At 48.8% G+C, this 23,379-nt stretch overlaps 2 annotated features.

Moving 5' to 3' along the window:
- Positions 3,935-4,620: an enhancer, noted in NCBI's record as "H3K4me1 hESC enhancer chr21:47371642-47372327 (GRCh37/hg19 assembly coordinates)". NCBI's record gives its function as "activates a minimal SCP1, AML or CMV promoter by ChIP-STARR-seq in primed H9 embryonic stem cells {active_cell/tissue: H9 hESC(primed)}" and the evidence as "EXISTENCE:reporter gene assay evidence [ECO:0000049][PMID:30033119]".
- Positions 22,622-22,916: a silencer, noted in NCBI's record as "tiled region #9072; HepG2 Repressive non-DNase unmatched - State 4:PromP, and K562 Repressive non-DNase unmatched - State 12:CtcfO". NCBI's record gives its function as "represses a minimal TATA promoter and a strong SV40 promoter by Sharpr-MPRA in HepG2 and K562 cells {active_cell/tissue: HepG2 | K562}" and the evidence as "EXISTENCE:reporter gene assay evidence [ECO:0000049][PMID:27701403]".

The raw sequence follows: 23,379 nt of genomic DNA on the forward strand, positions 1-23,379 counted from the left end.
GATCAACTTCATCTCACTGAAGTTGGGTAGGACTCCATGAGGCTTACTCTGCTCCCAAGTCACCCCCGCTTAGGGCACAGTGCCCAGGGCTGCCTCTGGGTGTCCACTGGTCCTTCCTCCTGGGTGGGTTTTGAACTTGACTTGTCGTCTGCCCAGCACCATTAGACCAGAGCTCTGTCCAGCTTTGAGCAGTTTTCTGCTGGTCTTCGTAGCCTTCTGTTGCATGAGGTTCACGAGCTGCAGATGCCTGGCTGAGCGAGCCAGTGGTACATGGTACTCCGGGTCCGCCGCCGCACCTCACGGGCCTCTCCTCTCTCCAGGACCCTAGCCCCTCTCCTGAGGCTGCTGCAGAAGCCCTCAAGCACCACAACAGATTTTTTAAAATTCAGCTTTTGAAATTGTACTTGGTGGGAATGTTTGTCTAAGTAAACGCCGTCACAGAAGTGCTGGCCCATGAACTCGAAGGCTTTCAAAGAATCTCATGGTTGATGTAAAAATCTCACGAGGCAGGAGCTTTCATTTTTTAAAATTAATGTAATAGATATTCTAATACTTAGTAGACGAATAAACTGTTCTCAGGAACTGTGGCGACATCCAGTCAGTGGTCACCTCTTGTTCCTGGTGGACATCACTTAGCACCAGTGCCGGCAGTTTTATAAAACAGAGGATAACGTCGCGGGACTGGCCGGCCTCAGAATTGCTCAGGGTTTGGACTCATGGAAATCCAAGGCACCCTGCAGCTCAGCCATGGGAGTTCACCTCCAACTCTGAGGATCTGAGGGAGGGAGGGAGGCCCTCTCCGGGGACCAATATTTGCCTCCACGTGGCTAAGGCCAGTGATGCAGGCTGTGCGGTGTGTTGACGGACTCGGGGAAGGTGGAGGAAGGAGGCCTGGGGGAGGGGCTCCTCTTACCCGGAGTTGCATGGGTGGATTTCAGGTTGACGGGGGCGGGGCTGCATTTTTAGGTGTTTCTACTGATAAGACCAAGGGTAGTTGGGAAAAAGCCCAGCACGTCAACAGCTCGACAGAGAGCAGCTCCCTGAGGTCGCCACCAGCTTCCCGTGGATGTTGATGATCTCATGTCCTCAGTCAACCCCGGAACCACAGAAGAGCACAGCGGGAGACCTGGGGAAAGGCAGACTCCACCGGGAGGTCGGGAAGCACAGTTCTCAGCCCTGCCCGGGCCCCCGTCCATCCTGCTTTGGAAGAGCACCTGGACTCTAGGATGAGGAGACGAGGCAGCGTGGAGACTCACCGCCTCCGGAGGACAGGGAGGGAGGAGCCGGTCGCCGCAGGCACGGCCTGGACGTGCTGGGAGCCGCACTTGGTGTTGGCCGTTGGGCTGATGCTTGTCAGGAGCCCAGGACAAGCTCCGTGGCTTACCTGGGATGATCTCATGTTTCTCTGAGGTAAAGGTTCATGATGAGTTTTCCTGCACCATGAAATACGTCAAATAACAATTTCCACTTTCAATCCTCGAACGCACAACGCTATAAAAATATATAAAAACTACTTTGACAGGAGTAAAAAACGTCATGCTAAAAGGATTAAGAAGAGGTTTGTTGGTTGATGAAAGGACGTGTGGCTGTGGCGAGACCTGAAACACACCCCACGTGGGCGTGTGCACTTCGCCCACTTCATGCCAAGTGCCGGCTGCTTTGTCGGCTTCGTTCAGCGTCACCCAGAGAATAACTTCTCTTTACCTCCCATGGGGATTGTCTTCTAATTTGGAGAAGTTGGATATACCTCTATTAAGTGCAGAGCTACACAGTAATAAAAAACACACTCTAGGACATTTTGAGAAAAGCAAATGTTCCAGCAGAAGCATCTGGGCCGGGCGCGGTGGCTCATGCCTGTCATCCCAGCACTTTGGGAGGCCAAGGTGGGCGGATCCCTTGAGCCCAGGAATTGGAGACCAGCCTGGCCGACGTGGCAAAACCCCGTCTCTACTAAAAATACAAAAATTAGCTGGGCGTGGTGGCGCATGCCAGTAGTCCCAGCTGCTCTCGAGGCTGAGGAGGTGGGAGGATCGCTTGAGCCCAGGAGGTTGAGGCTGCAGTGAGCCAAGATCGCGCCACTGCACTCCAGCCCGGGCGACAGAGACCCTGTCTCAAAAAAAAAGAAAAAGCAGCGCCTGGCTGTGAGGATTCCCGAAGGCAGCACCACCCCTGAGCAGACCCGTCTGCCCCTCCGACCGTCATGCACCAGCCCCTCCCGGTGCCCTGTGTCGTCACATGATGCTTGTTGAGGAGCCCAGGCGTCCACCCCCGCGCCTCCTGGCATGACGCCGACCTCACTCCTTGGCCCCCGGAATTCCCACAGGTGGGAGGTGGTCACAGAAGCTTTGTCGATTCCGTTCTCTTTTTGGCAAGGACACTTCCAGGTGCCTCTGCACGGGCACTGACCCACAGGTGGGCACAGGGCCATGCTCCCAGCCTGGGCCTGACGGGCCGGGGTGCAACCACCGCCAGCATCTACCATGCTGTGAGTGGGCGGCGGTGACGCACCCACCTGGGAATGGCAGCGAGTGCCCGGAGTGCCGGATTCCCCCCGAGCTTTCACGTCTAAGGATTACGAGGAAGACCTGGACTACGTGCCTTTATGAGATGCCTCCTGTGGGTCCCTGAGGCCGTCAGGTGCCACCTCACCCCTGCGTGTCCTGCGGAAACTGTGACCTGTGACTCCGGGGCGGGGTGGCCTTGGGGGCACCAGCAAGTGAAGGGTGCACCAGGGCACTGGGTTGGGGACCTTGCCCAGGACAACAGGCAGGGCTTGTCCAAAAGCCCCTGGCCCTGTTCCAACCCCCAGGAGGGTTCGAGCCCTTTCGAGGGTCCCATGCTGTGTCCAGAGCAGCCATGCACCCACCTTCTCCACCACAACACAGCCACCCTCCTTCTCCAGAGTGGCCTTTTACAAAGCACAATTACCATTACCTCCTGAGTGAAACCTGTCCTCGGGGCGGAGACTGCCCCAGGCCTGGCCTCGTACACACACCCCTCCTGCCCGCCTCCCTCCCTCCAGCCCTGTTGGCACTGCCCCGTGGCAGCCTCCCGCAGCGGCCGCCTCCGGCTCTGCCTCCTCCAGGGTGCTGTGGCTCCTCCTCAAGGGAGGGCGGCTGGGGGAGGAGACGCCTCAGTACAGAAAAGCTCGCAGCTGTTGTTGGGTCTGATCCCACCTCTCCTGCTGTTTCCTGCCAGGACAGATGAGGAGTTAGCTCTCCACTTCCCACCATGCCTGCCCCTCCTTCACAATCTTTGTTAATTATATTCTTACTCTGTTTCCATATTGAATAACTCACTTAAATTCTTACCATAAAAGATGACAAAGATACACAAAAGTACAGAGAACCTAAATACCTGATATAATGCATAATTGTAAGACACACAATTATGTTTCTTCGTCAAGAAACAGAAAATACCCAGCCCCTGACTCAGCTTCTAGAAGTAACCGGGCCCTCCCCGAGGTGTAGCCTGGGCCTGAACACACCTGCCCCGGGGGCAGAGCTGCTTTCTCTCCATCCCCTCTAACCGCCCTTCACAGCATCCTGAAGATTAAGGCTCCCTCCAGAGGTGGGAGGTGGTCTGGGCGTCCCTCCCCAGGCAGCACCAGGGGCTAAACCTCTCTTGGAGTTCACCCTGTCTTCCCCATGGGCACCTAGCGGGGTTCCTGGAGGCGGAGTCTGCAAAAAGATGGAACTTCCCTCTGTCTGCGGCTCCCAGGGACTCCACACTTCCCTGAAGCTCACAGCCTTCAGCAGTTTGTTATAAAATTTCCAATTCAACCATCTTGCCCTCCGTTGTGGCCTTCAGGTAAGAAAATGCCAGGACCCTGCAGGTGCCTGTCTCTGGGTTTCAGGTAAGAAAATGCCAGGACCCTGCAGCTGTCTGTCTCTGGATTTCGGGCTAGAGATTTGTCCTGTGACCTCGGTTCTCTGATGGGCTCAAGAAAAGTTGTTAATCTGCAGTTTGCACAGCTTGTTACTGAATGGAACTGGGGTCAGCCTGCCCAGCACAGAAAACCCAGCCCCGACATGGGGATTTGCAGCGAGAGAAAGCGAGGCGTTCAGTGCAGGGCACCAGGCAAGGAGAACCGGGCAACCCGTGCTTAAGACTGGCACTCTCTGACGGCTTCCGGCTCAGGGTTACTAAAAGCAGGAGGCAGAGGTCACGGGCAAAGCCAGAGATCAATACCTGGGGCTGCCCATTGGCTTCCCCTAAAGGGTGGGACGTCTCGAAGCCGGGGGCTACAGGTCATATTCTCTGATTCGTCATTGGTTAAGGAAGGGAAGGAAACTTTACCTGAAAACCCGGGGCCATCAGAAAGGAATGTTAGCTCTGGCCCATGGGCGTGACTTCCTCCAGGCCCCTCCGGAGGAAACTGAGGACAGAGAATGGTGGTCCCAGTTCAGTCCTCAGCACCCCCACCCCACCCGATGTCTGTGAGTGACGGGATCTTTTGTTTCTCTGGGGAGCCGAGCATTCGGTCTCTCACCTCCTTGGCTGTTGCTTTAAGCTGTTCTGACCTTCTTGCTTGTCACGTTGCTCACTGACTTTTTTTTTAATTTTATTATCATTATACTTTAAGTTCTAGGGCACATGTGCACAACGTGCAGTTTTGTTACCTATGTATACATGTGCCGTGTTGGTGCGCTGCACCCATTAACTCGTCATTTAGCACTAGGTATATCTCCTAATGCTATCCCTCCCCCCTCCCCCCACCCCACAACAGGCCCCGGTGTGTGATGTTCCCCTTCCTGTGTCCATCACTGTTCAATTCCCACCTATGAGTGAGAACATGCTGTGTTTGGTTTTTTGTCCTTGCGATAGTTTGCTGAGAATGATGGTTTCCAGCTTCATCCATGTCCCTACAAAGGACATGAACTCATCATTTTTTATGGCTGCGTAGTATTCCATGGTGTTTTTTAAAGCCAGCGACGTGCCTGGAATTTCCCCCGAAGGGACTCAAGATTTCCCTCGACTTCTGTGTTTGGGGCCCTGCTCCATCTCGAGTTTTCTCTTGTTACTGTACTGTTCCTTCCAGCTCGACACATCTCCGGGCTGAATCCCAAGCTATTGATTTTTAATTTCATCTTGTATCTGGCAAGTTTGCTAAATTGTCTTTGGCTGGTGATTCTGATGGTTTCTGTGGCTGGATTATGTCACCTGCAGATGACAGCCGTCTCTCTTCCCTTCCAATCTTTGCATTTCTTTCTTTCTCTTTCTACACTTAGCCGTGGTAGGAATAACGCTCAAAATCCTAAGGAAATTGAACACTCAAAGGATTCTTAGCAAAGCAGTTTTACTTCTGCGCAGAGGGGTGCCTCCTTGGCCAGTCGCCATGAGAGTACATCTGAACAAAGGGGCACGAGAGCCTTTCTTCCTGCCACAAGTCCTGCCCCTGCCCCCGTGCCCTTTCCCCATCGGCCGGGGTCGGGTTGTACAATCTAATCCCGGTTGGCTGAACATTTGAATTTTTTTAGATAAGGTGAGCACGTAAAAGAGAGGAAAGGGGAAGGGGTGTCTGTAGTGAGCTAGAAAGTTAGTCCTCTTTCCAAATAAGGACAGGAATGTGAGCTGGTACTGATAATGCCTGGTACTGTGGCATGCCTGGGCATCTAACAAAGGCAGAAAGGAAAAAGGAAAAAACCGTGTGAGGGGTACTCTGAATTAAAAGATTGATCAGGCTATTTGAAGAGAAACCTCGCCATATCCCACAGCCAGGACATCCAGTAATAAAACTTGAAATTAGGCAACTTTCCCTCTGTCCTTACTTTGCTAAGAGTTTGTATCACTAATGGGTATTGAACCTTGTGGGATGTGCTTTCTGCATTGGCCGAGATGTTTTTCTCCGTTTAGCCTGTGACTATGGTGGGCTACACGACAGACCTCCCAATGCATGTGCGTCACATTCACAGACAAGCGTTGCTTGATCACGTGTGGTTTTAAAAGCATACGCTGTTGGGTTTGGCAAGCTAATATTTTATTTAGGATATTTCCCTTCACGGGCCTGCTATTTGTTTCATTGTTTTGTGCCAAGCGCACCGGGAATGGTACCGAGGCAGGCCAGGTCTCACTCACGCAGGCCCCCGGGAACAACTGTTTCCACACCGACTGAGGGATGAGGATAAATATTAAAAGCTGATAGAGCCAGCGCCCTTATGCAAAGGCTGGACTGTAAAAGACGTCCCCTGAGAGTTTTGCCCAGGCCTCTCCAGGGCCTTGAAGCATGACAAGATAATGAAGGAATTCTTAACAGGACCTGTTTAGGATTAAACAAGTTTTACTGGGGTCTGAAGAAACTCCCCAGACCTCCACAAACAAGCTTCCTTGGAAACTAAAGGAGCTCCCTCAACCTCCGTGATTTAGCAGAGGGCAAGATAAGGGTGATCACCCCAGCACCTGGACCCAGTTAGATTCAGTAAATCCACTGAGGCTCCAGAGGAAGGTCTTCAGGACTCAGGCCTTAGTGATAGATGAGAAGTTCATCACTTATGTCTTTGGATGAGTGCACACTTACACGCAGACACAGAGCTTAGAAGGCACACAAGCTCTGGAAAACGTTGGTCTGGCGATAATTTCCAGGCCTTCTCCCTGTAACCGGTTAACTCACTCCTCTCCCAGTTCATCTGCGTCTCGTTACTGGGCCGAGAGAACAAGCAGCCCCACCCTCGGTTTGGTCTGGGAACAGCACCCAGCAGCTGAGCAGGCAAAAGCTCGGATTATCTTTAGCTGGTTTTGGAATTGGCTTATACCAGCCTTTTGCCCCTTCTCTAAGTTCTGGCTTGAGCCAGTTTGTCTAAGTTAAGCTTGAGCAGTTCCTTGAGTTTGGCAGAGTCTACCTGGGAAGCCTGGGGCAGGCGCGCGCTGGCCTCTTCCGGGGTCAGCTCTGGCATTTTGTTTTTTCTTGAAACGATCTGGGAATTCAAACTTTCTGAATGCAGCTGCTCATAACGTTCTTGTGATTTCTTTGATCCCTCTGTCTGCAGTTATTTCTGTATTTTCAGTCTCTATTTTTATTTATATTTTCCTCTTTTTTTGCTCAATATTGTCAAAATCAATATATCTTTTCAAAGTATGATCCTTGGTTTTTGCTACTCATATTATTTTATTTTTCTCTATTTCATTGATTTCTGCCAGTATCTTTGTCATTTCCCTTTTTCTTATTACTTTGGGATCATTTTGTTACATTGCTGTTTTTTCCAATTATTTCATTTGTATGATTAGTTCTATTTCTTTTCTTTTTTCTTTTTTTTTTTTTTTTGAAAGAAGGTCTTGCTCTGTTCCCCAGGCTGGAGTGCAGTGGTGCTGTCATAGCTCACTGAAGCCTCAAACTCCTAGACTCAAGCAACCCTCCCACCTCAGCCTCTTAAGTAGCTGGGACTACAAGTGCTGTTAGAAATACCAAAATTGTTCGAAATAGATAATCGGTGCCGCGAAGAAAAGTCAGCACAGACACAAAAGATCTCTCAGCAAGGCCATCTTTACTTTCTGCAGAAAGGGTGCTCAGTCACAGATGGAATGATCGCGAGAGGTCACCTAAGCAAAGGAAAGGCAGACATAATTAACCCTTAAGCATTTGGGTCGTCCTTACTGTTGTGTCCTGCATCCATTGGCTGGAGCTGGGCCTCACAGTCTTAAACTGATACCTGATTTGCTAATAACCTGAAACTTTCCTAAATAGGTAATTAGGAAAGGTCTAAGGAAGCAATAACATTTCCAAATAAGGAAGGGGCATAGGCTGTGAGCTGGAACGTGTCTGTGAGCATGTCCAACAATTACATGGGATAGGGCTTAACAAAGAGTTATTAGCACAAAGCAAGGAGAATTGAAGAAAGTCTTTAAAAGAAACTATTATTTCTAACACTTATGATGTATTCTTTAACAAGAAGGGGAAATTTGAAGAGGAAAACTTTTACTCTCTACAAGCGTGCACCACCACACCCAGCTAATTTATTTTTTCATTTATTGTAGAAGCAGGGTCTTGCTTTGTTGCCCGGGTTGGTCTGCAATTCCTAGGCTCAAGCGATCCTCCACCTCGGCCTCCTGTAGTCACCTGGGATTACAAGTGTGAGCCCCCACGCCCGTCCTATTGAAAATGTATTTATGACTGTATATTTCTAGGTACTCTTAACTGTGTCCTGTGACTTTTGACATACGGTATTATCATTATTATTCAATTCTAAAGAGGTTTTTCATTCCCTCAAGAGTTCTACTTACCCAAAGGTTACTAGTAAAATGTTATTAAATATCCAAACACATGAGATTCTCTCAGGTATCCTTTGAATATTCATTTCCAAATGTTTTGCATCATGGTACGAATTCATAATCTCCATGACACGGATCCTTTGGGGTTTACTGAGGCATCTTTTATGACCTAATCCAATGGTCTCTTTTTGTAAGTCTTCCACGTCTGCTTGAGTAGAAGTGTATTCTCTGCCTGCCACCCGCTCTATGTGGATCTAATAGCTGGTGACTGCGTTGTCAAGTCTTGAACAGCTTTGATGCTTTTTGTCTGATGTGATCTATGTAGAAGGCAGAATCATGGCCCCCAAAAGATGTGCAAATCCTAAACCCCAGAACCCATGAATACATCATATTCCATAGCAAGGGGGTATTAATGTTGCCAATTAATTAAGGTTTCTACTCAGTTGACATGAAAATAAAGAGGTAACTCTGGCTTATCCAGGTGGGTGCAATTTAATTACAAACGCTTAAATGGGGAGGTCAGGGGCAGAGGGATGATGTCACAAACACACCCATGTGTGCTTGGTGCAAAACAGTAAAACAAACAGCAAGAAGGTCCATGAAGGAAAGATCGCCTCTGTCAGTGGGAGTAATGAGAGTGGCTGATGGACAGGTGTGTTAGGCTGTTTGCACTGCTATAAAGAAATACCTGGGGTTGGGTAATTTATAAAGAAAAGAGGTTTATTTGGCTCACGGTTTTGTAGGCTACACAAGCATGGCCCCAGTGTCTGCTTCTGGGGAAGCCTTGGGAAGTGATAGTCATTGCAGAAAGTGGCCATGGAAGCAGGCACATCCCATGGCAAGAACAGGAGCAAGGGACAGAGTGGGCAGAGGAGCCAGGCTCCTTTAAACAACCAGCTCTCATGGGAACTGAGTGAGAACGTGCTCATTGCCAAGAAGATGGCTCTAGGCTATTCATGAGACATCCACCCCGTGATCCAATACCTCCCCCCGGGGCCCACCTGCAACACTGTGAAACACATTTTCACATGAGATTTGGAGGAGACAAAACCTCCAAACCATATCAAGTGGCACACTCACAAGAAAACGTGTCAGTGGCCAAGACGATTTGCAATGAGGACTGGATGAGGCTGGGACCCAACTCTCTGTCTCTGACATTCCTGCTCATCTCATGGACAGAGGCACTGATTGTTCTAGACCATCTTTCCAAGGGTGTTGTTTTGTGACAGCCTTGATAATATGTCCTTCCAGATCAAAGGGCAGGTTGCTTACACCCTAATCCTGAAGGTAAAGACGTTTTCTCCCTCCAAAGCAAAGAGCAGGCATGCTTACTGTCCATTATAAAAGATTCACGTTCCCTGAGCTCAGGGTTCCTCTCCTGCAGTGCAGTCCACGGTGTGTGCAGATGCCACTGGGCCCACTCTGTGTCACTGTTTGGGAAACGGGGCTCGGAAACTGGTGTGAAAAGTATGCTGATACTCTGTTAGAAAAAAATGCCAACATTCTGGCTACTGATATTGCTGTGAGTAATAAAGTACTTCATCCTTGAAAAACCAAAAGGCCCAGTTAAGATAAGGTGGACAGAAAAACACCTAAACAAAGGTAAGGCTTGCTATGGAGAGTCAAGCCAACACTGCCTCCAGTGTAAGAGTTTCTAGTGACTTCGTTCCCCTTCTTTTCCCAATGCAAAGACAGAGATGCCCTTTAAATGGAGGTTTCAGCTGGGCGGTGGCTCACTCCTGTAATCCCAGCACTTTGAGAGGCTGAGGCAGGCAGATCACTTGAGTTCAGGAGTTGGAGACCAGCCTGGGCAACATAGTGAGAGCCCATCTCTACAAAAAATACAAACATTAGCCAGGCGTGGTGTTGCATACCTGTAGCCCGAGCTACTTGGGAGGCTGAGGTGGGAGTATTGATTGACTCCAAGAATTCAAGCTGCAGTCATCTGCAATCACACCACTGCACTCCAGCCTGGGTGACAGAGTGAGACCCTGTCTCCAAAAACAAAAACAAAAGAAAAGAAATGAAGTTTCATTTATTGATGTAAATTGTTCTTACAAAGCATTTCAAAATAACCAGCTGAAAACAGTCCTATGCCAGAAGGCATCTTTGAGAAGCTAAGTTGGCTGCATCACCACTTTTCCAACCCAGCTCGAGGTTTTGGCTTGATCACTGAGTTAGGGCGGAGCCCACTGCAGAATGGGGCAAGCATTTCCTGGACTCAGCACGCTCGCTTCCAATCTTGCCTTATAGTCAGAGACTGGTTCATTTTTTATTTTTGTTTGTTTTCAAGATTGAATAACAGATCAGCCAGGGCTTTTTTCACAAGCAAAAAAAAAAGGGAGTTTGGGGGCATAGTACAGATCACAACGAGACAGAGCTGGACAGAGTGGGAGAGCACAGAGTCAGCAGGAGCTGGAGAAGAATTTCGTTGACCAAGAGATTCCCATGGGAGAAGCAGGACCAAATAGAGAAAACAGAAAGGACTAATTCTTAAAAAATGTGTTTTTGAAAATTTCCAAGTGTCGTTTGGACAGATTCAGATACAGGAAACTTTTGAACTTCATTTGAAAGTCCAGTATTTGAAATTGGACTACTTCTGTGTCCACCACAGAAGTATTCTTTTTCCTCTTAAGAATTAGTGAATGACTGTCTGGAACTCAAGCCCATGAGAGCTTCCTCTACTGGGAAAACAGACTCAGCCAGAGGGAGTGGGCCCATCAGATGGCTCGTACAAAAGTGGACAATTTCTTTTCCAATGGTCAGAATGGATTTGTTACAATGCCGAGAAAAGTGATGTTAGAGTGAAGTCTGTCAAAACCATCACCCTAGGAGAGCATCATAACACTTTCCCAAAAAGTAAAAATTCATAACTCCAGGGAAGAAAAATGAGAATCACTCATTTTTCTACCATCCAAAGATAACCAGTGCTGATACTTTGTTAAATTTCCTTTCTGGGGGTCCTTTTCTGTTTTTTTGTTCTGTTTCATTCTGACAAAACAAAACAAAACACTACCTCACACCCTATACCAAAAAAAAGTCAATTCCAGATGGATTTTAGATCTGCATGTCAAAAGTAAGACAATGATCTTCTAGAAGTAAACATTGGAGAAGAGCTTCCAGAGCTTGCAGTGGGCAAAGAGTGATACCGAGGTCACAAAACCACTAACCATAAACGAAGTTGATAAACAACTATAAAATAAAGAACTAGAAAGACAAAATATTCACAGTACACTTGTCTGACACAGAGCCTCATTCTAGAACGTGCAAATAAGAAGACAGCCCAAGAGACCAATGAGAAAAAGACTTGCTCAGACTCTTCAGAAGACATGAGAAATCAGTGGGCAACAAGCATACACAAAGGTGTTCGACCTCATTACCAACAAACATGCAAATTTAAACCACAGCGTGGAACTGCTGCCTGGCCGACAGACAGCTGAAATGAAACAGGCAGAGATGGCCTGTGGACAGAGGATGTGGAGCAAATAGAACTTCCAATGATGGCTGCTGGAAGTGAATAGCTCCTCTGGAAGATGAGTGGTGTCTCCTGAAGCTGAGTATCTGCGTGTCTGTGACCTTGTAGTTTCTACTTCCAGATGTGGTCAAGAGAACTGTGAATGTGTGTGCACCAGAAACATCCACTGGGACATTCATAGCACCCTTCTCATGACATCTCCACTCCACAGGCCACCCAAAATGAGTGAGAGAGTAAAATGTGGAGTGTCTGCGCACTGGGATGCTCCACAGCAATGGGAATGAACAGCCTGCTCAGACACACATCAACTTGGGTTGCCTCAGGGACCTTACGCCAAGCAGGAGATGCCAGACACAGAGTCCATCCTGAGAGAGTCTGTTCCTGTCCAAGCTCAGAAACACAGGAAGCCACCTGTGCTGTAGCAGCACGCGGAGATGCATCCTTTCTGGTCCACCCCACGGCCCTCATTGCAGTCAGGGATCCTCTCCCAGAAAGTCCCTGCTGCCAGCCCCTGCCCTTCCAGGGTGCACTCTGGACGTTGCTTCCGTGACTGGTCTCAACACCTCTCTCCACTGCTCAGGCAGCGGCCTTGGCTCTGGGAGCCTGGAATGTGCAGGAACCAGCTGGCCTTGGAGTGCTGCAGACTCCAAGGTGCGTCACCTGCAGTTCTGATCCCTGTTCTGGATGCAACCCAGGACCCTGCCCTTGCCAAGCATCCCAGGAACACTGGCACTGATGGCTGAGGCTACATCCAAGACAGACGGTGAGGAAGGCCCCAAGGAAAGGGCCGTGTGGGACACATTGTCCTTCCCAAGATGATGAGTCTGAGCCTGGCAGGGGAGGCACTGGGAGGGCCTGTTGTGGGCAGTTCATTCAATGGACACAGGGTGGCACCGCTCTGTGTCCTCTAATGACCATTAGACACCTCTAACCATCACATGATGTGCAGCTCAGCTTTTCCAAGGGCCTGGAAGTGAATATTTCAGGAGATAACGTGAATAACCCACTGTATTCATCTGTTCTCAGGCTGCTAATAAAGACATACCCGAGACTGGGTAATTTATAACAGAAAAGAGGTTTAATGGACTCACAGTTCCACATGGCTGTGAGGCCTCACAATCATGGCAGAAGGCAAAGGTGGAGCAAAGGCACATCTTACATGGTGGCAGGCAAGAGAACCTGTGCAGAGGAACTGCCCTTTATAAAACCATCAGATCTTATGAGACTTATGCACTATCACGAGAACCATACTGGAAACACTCACCCCCCATAATTCAATTACCTCCCACTGAGTCACTCCCACAACGTGGGGATTATGGGAGATACAATTCAAGATGAGATTTGGGTGGGGACACAGCCAAACTATATCATTCCACTCCTGACCCTGCTCACATCCTCACATTTCAAAGCCAATCATGCCTTCCCATCAGTCTCCCAAAGTCTTAACTTATTTCAGCATTAACTTAAAAGTCCACAGTCCAAAGTCTCATCTGAGACAAAGCAAGTCCAAAATCTATTAGGGCAGTCATTAAACCTTAAAATTCCAAAATAATCTCCTTTGACTCCATTTCTCACATCCAGGTCATGCTGATGAAAGAGGTGGGTTTCCATGGTCTTGCGCAGCTCCAACCCTGTGGCTTTGCAGGGTACAGCCTCCCTCCTGGCTGCTTTCATGGGCTGGCATTGAGTGTCTGTGACTTTTCCAGGTTCATGGTGCAAGCTGTCAGTGGATCTACCATTCTGGGGTCTGGAGGATGATGGCCCTCTTCTCACACTAGGCAGTGCCCCAGTGGGGACTCTGTGTGGGGGCTCTGACCCCACATTTCCCTTCCACACTGCCCAAGCAGAGGTTCTGCATGAGGGCTCTGCCGCTGCAGCACTCCTCTGCCTGGACATCTAGGCATTTCCATACGTCCTCTGAAATGTAGGCAGAGGTTCCCAAACCTTAATTCTTGTCTCCCGTGCACCCAACACCATGTGGAAGCTGCCAAGGCTGGGGGCTTGCACCCTCTGAAGCAATGGCCTGAGCTGTACCTTGTCCCCTTTTAGCCATGGCTGGAGTTGAAGCAGCTGGGACCCAGGGCAACATGTCCCAAGGCTGCACACTGCAGGGGAGCCCTGGGCCCAGTCCATGAATGCATTTTTCCCTCCTAGGCCTCTGGGCCTGTGATGGGAGGGGCTACCACAAAGGTCTCTGACATGCCCTGGAGATATTCTCCCCATTGTCTTGGCGATTAACATTTGGCTCCTCATTACTTATGCAAATTTCTGCAGCTGGCTTGAATTTTTCCCCAGAAAATGGGTTTTTCTTTTCTACCATAGTCAGGCTGTAAATTTTCCAAACTTTAATGCTCTGTCATCTCTCAAACACTTTGCTGCTTAGAAAATTCTTCTGCCAAATACCCTAAATCATCTCTCTTAAGTTCAAAGTTCCACAGACCTCTAGAGCAGCAGCAAAGTGCCGCCAGTCTCTTTGCTAAAGCACAGCAAGAGTTGCCTTTGCTCCAGTTCCCGATAAGTTCCTCATCTCATCTCCATCTGAGACCACCACAGCCTGGAGACCACCTTATTGTCCATGTCAGTGTCAGCATTTTGGTCAAAGCCATTCAACAAGTCACCAGGAAGTTCCTAACTTTCCCACATTTTCCTGTCTTCTTCTGAGCCCTCCAAACTGTTCCAACCTCTGCCTGTAACCCAGTTCCAAAGTCACTTCCACATTTTTGGGTATCCTTACAGCAGCACCCCCCTCTCTGCAGTACCAATTTACTGTATTAGTCCATTCCTATGCTGCTAATAAAGACATACCCGAGACTGGGTAATTTATAACAGAAAAGAGGTTTAATGGACTCACTGTTCCACATGGCTGGGGAGGCCTCACAATCATGGCAGAAGGCAAAGGAGGAGCAAAGGCACATCTTACATGGTGGCAGGTAGGAGAGCCTGTGCAGAGGAACTGCCCTTTATAAAACCATCAGATCTCATGAGACTTATTCACTATTGATGCAGGACTTTGCTCCTAGTTCAGCTAAATCTGGGTTCTTGTGTCATGACCAGGACAAGTTAGGCATGCAGACGTATTGAAGGGTGAGGGGAATGGAATTTATTGGGCAAAAACAAAAAAAGGAAAAAAACTCTCAGCAAAGCAGGAGGGGATCCTTCCAGGAGGCTCCCATCTTGCAGATTGAGTTCCAGGCCACCACACAGGAGCTGAAGAGGCCAGGCTCCTCCCTCTTGCACAAGATGTGAATTTCCTGTGGCTCCACCCCATTCTCCCAGTGCACAGGCAGATTGGAGATTCTCCGGGGACCCTCCCCATTATCTGCCTCCTGTGTCTATCACTATCACGGTAACAGCACAGGAAAAATCCGCCCTCATGATTCAATTACCTCCCACTGGGTCCTTCCCACAATACATGAGAATTGTGGGAGCAACAATTCAAGATGAGATTTGGGTGGGGACACAGCCCAACCATATCACCCACTTCCTGTGGCACTTTGTGTCTTCCACTTGATTTTCTCAACCATCCACCAGAATAGACACTGCATCCCCATTTTACAGGTGGGTAAACTGTGGCCCAGAGACACCACAGCTTTCCTGGGGATTACACACAAGTATATACTGGAGCCAGGGCTAGAGGCCAGCCCTCTGACTTCACTGACCTACTTTTCATATACTTTTCATCAGAGGCTCTCCCTACAGGATAGTTTTACAAATGCTAATAAAGAAAGGTTGTTTTCCATTTAAATAATTTTCAACAGCTAAAACGCAGAGCTCTCCATTTAAAACAACAACAGAGGAGACTACTTAGGAATGTGTAACAAGAAATGTGCAAATCTTATATGAGAAAACCTTAAAACACTCTGGAAGACACGAGGATGAGGTCATTAAATGGATGGATGCCCTTGCTCTTGGATAGGATGACTCCACACCATTGAACGTTTTCCACACACACTTTATAAATGTAGTGCAATCCCAGTAAAAACACCAACTTTTCTATTGATGTAGACAAATAGATACTAAAATTCATATGGAAAAACAAACAAGCAAGAACAGCCAGGAAACAGAAAAAAACTCCCTACAAGGGGGCTGGTGGAGAAGCTGCAGCCTACATTAGCTCTGTGACGGAAACGGTGAGACACCAGTGCACAGAGAACAGGCCAGTGGAGCAGAACAGAAAGCTCAGAATAAAACAGGGCACCAAGCACTTATGGAAATTTATGTTTCTAAATAAAGATGGTGATATGATTTGGATCTGTGTCCCCACCAAATCTCATGTCAAATTGTAAGCCCCAGTGTTTGAGGTGACTGGACAATGGGGGCGGGGTTCTCACGAATGGTTTAGCGCCATCCCCTCAGCGTTGTTTTCGTGATAGTGAGTGAGTTATGAGATCTGGTTGTTTTAAAGTGTGTGGCCTCTCCCCCATCTCTCTCTTCCTCCTGCTCCGGCCATGGAAGATGTGCCTGCGTCCCTTTCGCCTTCCACTGTGATTGTAAATTTCCTGCGGCCTCCCCAGAAGCAGAAGCCACCATGCTTCCTCTATAGCCTGTGGAACCATGAGCCAATTAAATCTCTTTTCTTCATAAATTACTCAGTTATGGGCATTTCTTTATAGCAGTGTGAGAATGGACTAATACCGAAAATTGGTACCAAGAAGTGGGGCATTGCTATAAAGATACATGAAAATGTGGAAGCAGCTTTGCGGAAGCAGCTTTGGAACTGGGTAACAGGCAGAAATTGGAAGAGTGTGAAGGGCTCAAAAGAAGATAGGAAGATGTGGCAAAATTCGGAACTTCCTAGAGATTTGTTAAATTTTTGTGACCAAAATGCTGATAGTGATACAGACAGTGAAGTCCAGGCTGAGAAGGTCTCAGATGGAGATGAGGAACTCGCTGGGAACTGGAGCAAAGGCCACTTTTGCTATGCTTTAACAAAGAAACTGGCAGCATTGTGCCCCTGCCCTAGAGATCTGTGGAATTTTGAACTTGAGGGAGATGATTTTGGGTATCTGGTGGAAGAAATTTCTAAGCAGCAAAGCATTCAAGATGTGGCCTGGGTGCTTCTAACTGTCTATGCTCAGATGTGTGAGCAAAGAAATGACCTAAAACTTGAATTTATATTTAAAAGGGAAGCAGAACATAAAAGTTTGGAAAATTTGCAGCCTGGCCCTGTGGTAGGAAAGAAAAGCCTATTTTCAGGGCTGGAATGCAAGCAAGCTGCAGAAATTTGCATAAGTAAAGAGAAGCCAAGTACTAATATCCAAGACAGTGGGGAGAAGGTCTCCAAGGCATTTCAGAGACCTTTGCAGCAGCCCCTCCCATCACAGGCCTGGAGGCCTAGGTGGGAAGAATGGTTTCATGGGCCAAGTCCAAGGCCCCAACACCATGGGACACTGCTCCCTGCATCCCTGCCATTTCAGCTCCAGCTGTGGCTGAAAGGGGCCCAGTTACAGCTCAGGCTGTTGCTTCAGAGAATGTAAGCCATAATCCTTGGTGGCTTCCACGTGGTGTTAAGCCTGCAGCTGCACACAGTGCAAGAGTTAAGGCTTGGGAGCCTCTGCCTAGATTTCAGAGGATGTATGAAAAAGCCTGCGTCTCCAGGCAGAAGCCTGCTGCAAGGGTGAAGCCTTGTGGACAATCTCTATTCGGGCAGTGTGGAGGGGAAATGTGGGGCTGGAGCCCCCACACAGAGTCCCCACTGGGGCACTGCCTAGTGAGGCTGTAAGAAGAGGGCCACCATTCTCCAGACCCCAGAATGGTAGATCCACTGACAGCTTGCACCATATGCTTGGAAAAGCCACAAGCACTTAACACCAGCCCTTGAGAGCAGCTGTGGGGGCTGAATCCTGCAAAGTCACAGGGGTGAAGCTGTCCAAGGCCTTGGGAGCTCACCCGTTTCACCAGTGTGCCCTGGATGTGAGACATGAAGTCAAAGGAGATTATTTTGGAGCTTTAAGTTTTAACAACTGCCCTACTGGATTTCGGACTTGCAGGGGGCCTATAGCCCCTTTCTTTTGGCCACTTTTCCCCCTTTGGAATAGGAGTATTTGCCCAATGCTTGTATCCCCATTGTATCTTGGAAGTAACTAACTTGTTTTTTATTTTACAGGCTCATAGATGGAAGGGTTGTCTTAGATGAGACTTTGGACTTTGAACTTTTGAGTCAATGCTGGAATGAGTTAGGACTTTAGGGGACTGTTGAGAAGGGATGATTGTATTTTGCAATGTGAGAAGGACATGAGATTTGAAGGGGCCAGGGGCAGAATGATAAGGTTTGGATCTGTGTCCCCACCAAATCTCATATCGAATTGTAATCCCCAGTGTTGGAGATGAGGCCTGGTGGGAGATGATTGGATCATGGGGGTGCATTTCTCATGAATGGGTTAGTACCATCCCCTTGGTGCTGTTCTCATGAGAGTGAGTGAGTGAGTTATCATGAGATCTGGTTGTTTGAAAGTGTATGGCCCCTCTTGCATCTCTCTCTCCCTCCTGCTCCAGGAACATAAGATGTGCCTGCATTCCTTTTGCCTCCTGCTGTGATTGTAAGTTTCCTGAGGCCTTCCAGAAGCAGAAACTGCTATCCTTCCTGTAGAGCCTGCATATGTGAGCCCATTAACTTCTTTTTAAATAAATTACCCAGTTATGGGTATTTCTTTTTTTCTTTTCCTTTTTTTATTTTTATTTTTTTTTTAGATGGAGGTTTGCTTTTATTGCCCAGGCTGGAGTACAGTGGGGCAATCTCGGCTCACCATGACCTCCGCCTCCCGGGTTCAAGTGACTCTCCTGCCTCAGCCTCCCCAGTAGCTGGGATTACAGGCGCCCACCACCATGCCCAGCTAATTTTTTGTATTTTTAGTAGAGATGGGGTTTCACCATGTTGACCAGGCTGATCTTGAACTCCTGACCTCAGGTGATCAGCCCACCTCAGCCTCCCAAAGTGCTGGGATTACAGGCATGAGCCACTGCACCCAGCCAGTTATGGGTATTTTTTTCTACAGCAATGCGAGAATGGACTAATATAGATGGCATCTCAAATAATTAAAGCAAAGTTGGACTTTTTAATAAATGGTGCTGGGACAACTCAGTAGCTATTTGGAAAAAGTTAAAATGGGTTCCATACTGTGGCATTAGATGGGTATATATTGGTGTTATGATATATATAAATGGGTATATATTGGTGTTATCACATATATAAATGGGTTTTCATCCATGGTTCCTGGCTCATGCCTCCCCTACCCCTCGTTAGTCTTTTGTTACAATGTCGGGTGTGTTGGGCCACAGGGGAGGCCTCTCACCTTCTCCTGTCCTTCACTCTAACGTCCCCACCTTGCTGACTGTGGGTCTTAAGACCCTCACCTGAGAGGGTCCCACCCTAGACCCTGGGGAAAGGAGTGTTGATGTCATGAAGCTTCTATAAAAGCCCACGAGAACAGTGTTCAGTGAGCTTTTGGAGTTGAATACATGGAAGGTCCTGGAGGGTGCTGCCCGGGGAGGACATGGAAGCAACAAGCCCCTCCCCCTTCCCTCCCCCTCGGCCTCTTCATGCGTATCCTTTGCAACATCCTTTATAATAAGCTGGTAATGTACATAAGTGTTTCCCTGGGTTCTGTGAGCCACTCCAGCAAATTAATCAAACTCCAGCTGGAAGCTGGTTGGTCAGAGGCTCCAGAGGCCCACACTTGCCACTGGTGGGAAAGAGGGAGTGGTCTTGGGGACGGACCCCTTACACTGTAGGAGGTGAAACTAGCTCTGGGCAGGCAGCGTTGGAACTGAATTAGAGGTGCCCGCTGCCTGATGTGTGGGGAAACCTCTGCACATTTGGTTGCAGAAGTCTTCTTCCATGTTGACGGTTGTTGTGGTGTGAGAGCAGAGGAGAAACAGGGTTAGAGTTTCCCCGGCACACACACCTCACACCATACACAAGAATACACCCCAGTGGATTTGGGATCTGAATGTAAAAAATGAAACAAGTACTAGAGGAAATACAGGTGAATTCCTCCATACCCTGAATATGAGGAAAGATTTTTCTAGGAATCAAAACAAAAGATTAATTTGACTACATGAAAATAATAGCATTCTGCATGGCCCAAAACACCACAAAGGCAAAGGAAAATTGAGAGACGAGGAGAAGGTGTGTGCTGCACAATCACAGATGCATAGCTAATATTCCATATATTAAAAAATTCAATATTTGAGGGGGAAAACATCAAAAACTCAACAGAAAAATGGGCAAAAGACATGAAACATGAATAGATCATTTCTCCAAAAATGTATAAAAATGATCTTTAGGCCGGGCGCGGTGGCTCACGCCTGTAATCCCAGCACTTTGGGAGGCCGAGGCGGGCGGATCACGAGGTCAGGAGATCGAGACCATCCCGGCTAAAACGGTGAAACCCCGTCTCTACTAAAAATACAAAAAATTAGCCGGGCGTGTTGGCGGGCGCCTGTAGTCCCAGCTACTTGGGAGGCTGAGGCAGGAGAATGGCGTGAACCCGGGAGGCGGAGCTTGCAGTGAGCCGAGATCCCGCCACTGCACTCCAGCCTGGGCGACAGAGCGAGACTCCGTCTCAAAAAAAAAAAAAAAAAAAGATCTTTAATTATATGAAAAGTTGTTCAACTTCATTTGGAATAAGAAATAAAAATTAAAACTACAGTGAGAGGTCCTCTCCAATCTCGTGTTGTGACAGTTACAGTATTGATGAGGCCGTGGCCTCTCACTGGCTGACGACTCCAAGCTGCACAGCCGTGCGGAAGGCAGTTCAATCCGATAAAACTCCGTGACCCAGCAACTCCACGTTACGAATTCACACCGAAGAAAACCTCCAACGATAGGAAGACTTGTAGGCACAAGGTCATTTGATGCAGTATAATTGGTGGTTGTGAAATACCGGAAAAAATTAAATGCTCCTGTGTAGACGTGTGTTGGCTAAGCTAAGGTACTGCCACATAGTGCCTTCATGCAGCTGCACAGAGAATGAGGATGGTCTCTATGACCCAACACGGAGTGATTTCAATGTATGTTGTTAAGTGATGAAAAAAGGCAAAGAGCAAAAGATTATAGTAGGCTATTTGGGGTGAGAAAAAAGAGAAATAAGAAAATAATATACATGCATCATTTTACTTTTGCAAAAAGAAACACAGAAAGGCTAAATGAGAATTGAGAATGTCTGGTTGCCTCCAGGAGGTGGGTGGGGCAGGGCAGAAAGGAGGGGGAGACGGGAGTGACCACTGCGTGAGCAAACCCTTCTGTAACTCCAAACTTCAGAACATGTTATTGTCTCCCCTACTCAGAAACTAATAACTGAAACCAATAAGCGTGGGGAAACAAAATGGAATCGACACTCATTTCATTTCAAATGGATAATATAAGCACACTGGATGCAAGGGAAAGGGGAGGATAAGACATTTTTTAACAGGCCAGGCATGGTGGCTCATGCCTGTAATTTGGGAGGCCAAAGTCGGCGGATCACCCGAGGTCAGGCATTCGGGACCAGCCTGGCCAATATGCTGAAACCCTGTCTCTAGTAAAAATACAGAAATTAGCCAGACATGGTGGCAGGCACCTGCAGGTGCAGGTGCAGCTACTTGGGAGGCTGAGGCACGAGAATCGCTCAAACCCAGGAGGTGGAGGTTGCAGTGAGCCGAGATAGCACCACTGCACCCCAGCCTGGGTGACAGAGCGAGACTCTGTCTCAAAAAAAAAAAAGAAATTTTTGAACAAAGTATTTTGACCATGTACTCATAGGCCAAAGATCCCTCAAAATTATAAGTAAATATTATAATTGTATAATTATCTATTTATATATAATTATATTATTAAAAAATTATAAATAAGCTCTACACAGTAGGTTTGCTTTTCACACAGGTAGGGATTAGCAACCCTGAAGCTGCTTTCTGTGTATTCTCGGATGCAGCAAATAGACAATTACACTGTGGCTGGTGGGGGTCTGGTCTCCACTCTCTGAAAAGGTGTTACAGTGGCGGGAAGGCAGCCAAGCAGACACACAGGTGTGCATGGGTCAGTGGTGTTACAGACTGACTGTGTCCCTCCCGTGTTCATATGTCAAAGCCCTTAAGCCCTAATGTGAGTGCATTTGGAGATGGGACCTGTAAGGAGGTAGTTATGGTTAAATGGGGTCATAAGGGTGGGGTTCTAATTTGACAGGACTGGTGTCCTTCTCAGAGGAGACACAGAGATTGTTCTCTCTCTGCAAGTGGACAGAGAAGAGGCCATGTGAAGAAATGAGAAGGCAGCTGTACGCAAGCCAGGGAGGGAGGCCTCACCAGAAACCAACCCTGACAGCACCTTGACCTTGAACTTCTAGCTTCCGGAACTATGAAAAAATTAGTTTCTGTTATGGAAGCCTCCCACGGTATGGCATTTCATTACAGCAGCCCCAGTACACTGAGGGATGGTAGCTGGAGGTCAATAGATGAATAACAAAATTAGACGGATGATAGACAGGGATATCATTGTCCGTCTTAAATTACCAGACTCAGAAAATATGATTAAGCATAGAGTTTACTGGAGCCCAGAGCTTAAGGACAGCCACCTGGGAGCACAGGTTCAAGCTGCCCTAAATCGAAGCTCCCATTAGCAGCAGCCTCTGACTCCCGCCCGAGGGCCCCCAGCACTACTGTGGAATTCCGGCCGGAACACACAGCCTGGACCTGGTCATGAGAAACGGCCCCACAAGCCCAACTTGAGATGCATTTTACAGAATAAGTGGCTTAAACGTCTCAAAAACGTCAAGGTCAGGAAAGGTCAAATTAAAGGAGACAAAGAGGTAAGAGAATAATGTAACAGTGAGCCAGCACCATTCCTGCCTCTGCAAAGGGGAAGGTGAGGGGATTGTTCCCATTATCAGGGGAAAGGGGTTCTCAGGAGACCTGGAGAAACGCCCAGGCGTAGCCTGGCCTGGGGCAACTGGAGCCGACCACTGCAGTGGGCTCTGGCAGGCACTGCGTCTCCCCCGAGGTCTCTGCTGAAAACAACGACCACGGAGGCCCTGATGCCTCCTACCTGGGCTGTGACCCTGGCCTAGGGCTCCTCGCACCTCCTGCACCCCACAGCCTCCGGGCCAGGCTCCGGCTCCCACCCAGTCCCTGCAGCCAAGGGAAGCCGCTGCCTGCAGGCCTGGAGGGCTCCCTGTTCCAGCTGCTCCCTCACTGGCCTCCGGCAGGGTCAGGACAGAGAGGGGGTGGCAAATCCACTGACCCCAGCGGAAGCCTCGCCAGAGTCTCCCAGGCACCGGTGGACCCAGGCATCTGGGGCCAGCGGGGAGGCCACGGAAAGGGGACAGTGCTGGCTCTGGGCCCCTCGGGGGACCGTCCTGCACTGGTGCCCATGGGCAGCAGAGGGCGCCCCTGACCATCCCTCCATGGCGTCCGCAGGAGCCTCACCAGCCTCAGGGTCCAGGGGCACCCACCCAGCTGTCAACCTAGCTGTCTGGAGTGAGCTTCAGTGGGAGGGGAGGAGGGGGCCTGCGATTGTGCAGGGACGAGGCTGGGGGAGCAGAGACTCCAGAAACCGTGTCCCACACCCCGCACTGCCCCTCACTGTGCAGCCCCAGCCTCCCTCCTAGAGCCCCCCAGCTGCTAGGCTGTGACAATTGCTTGTGTATCTGGACCCAGCAGGCTACAGGTCACTGTGACCTTGGGGCCTGGGGTCCCAAAGCCAGGCTGCCTGCCCCCGTTTCCCC

This window comes from Homo sapiens, chromosome 21 (genome assembly GCF_000001405.40).
Source record: "Homo sapiens chromosome 21, GRCh38.p14 Primary Assembly".
Taxonomy (NCBI): Eukaryota; Metazoa; Chordata; class Mammalia; order Primates; family Hominidae; genus Homo; species Homo sapiens.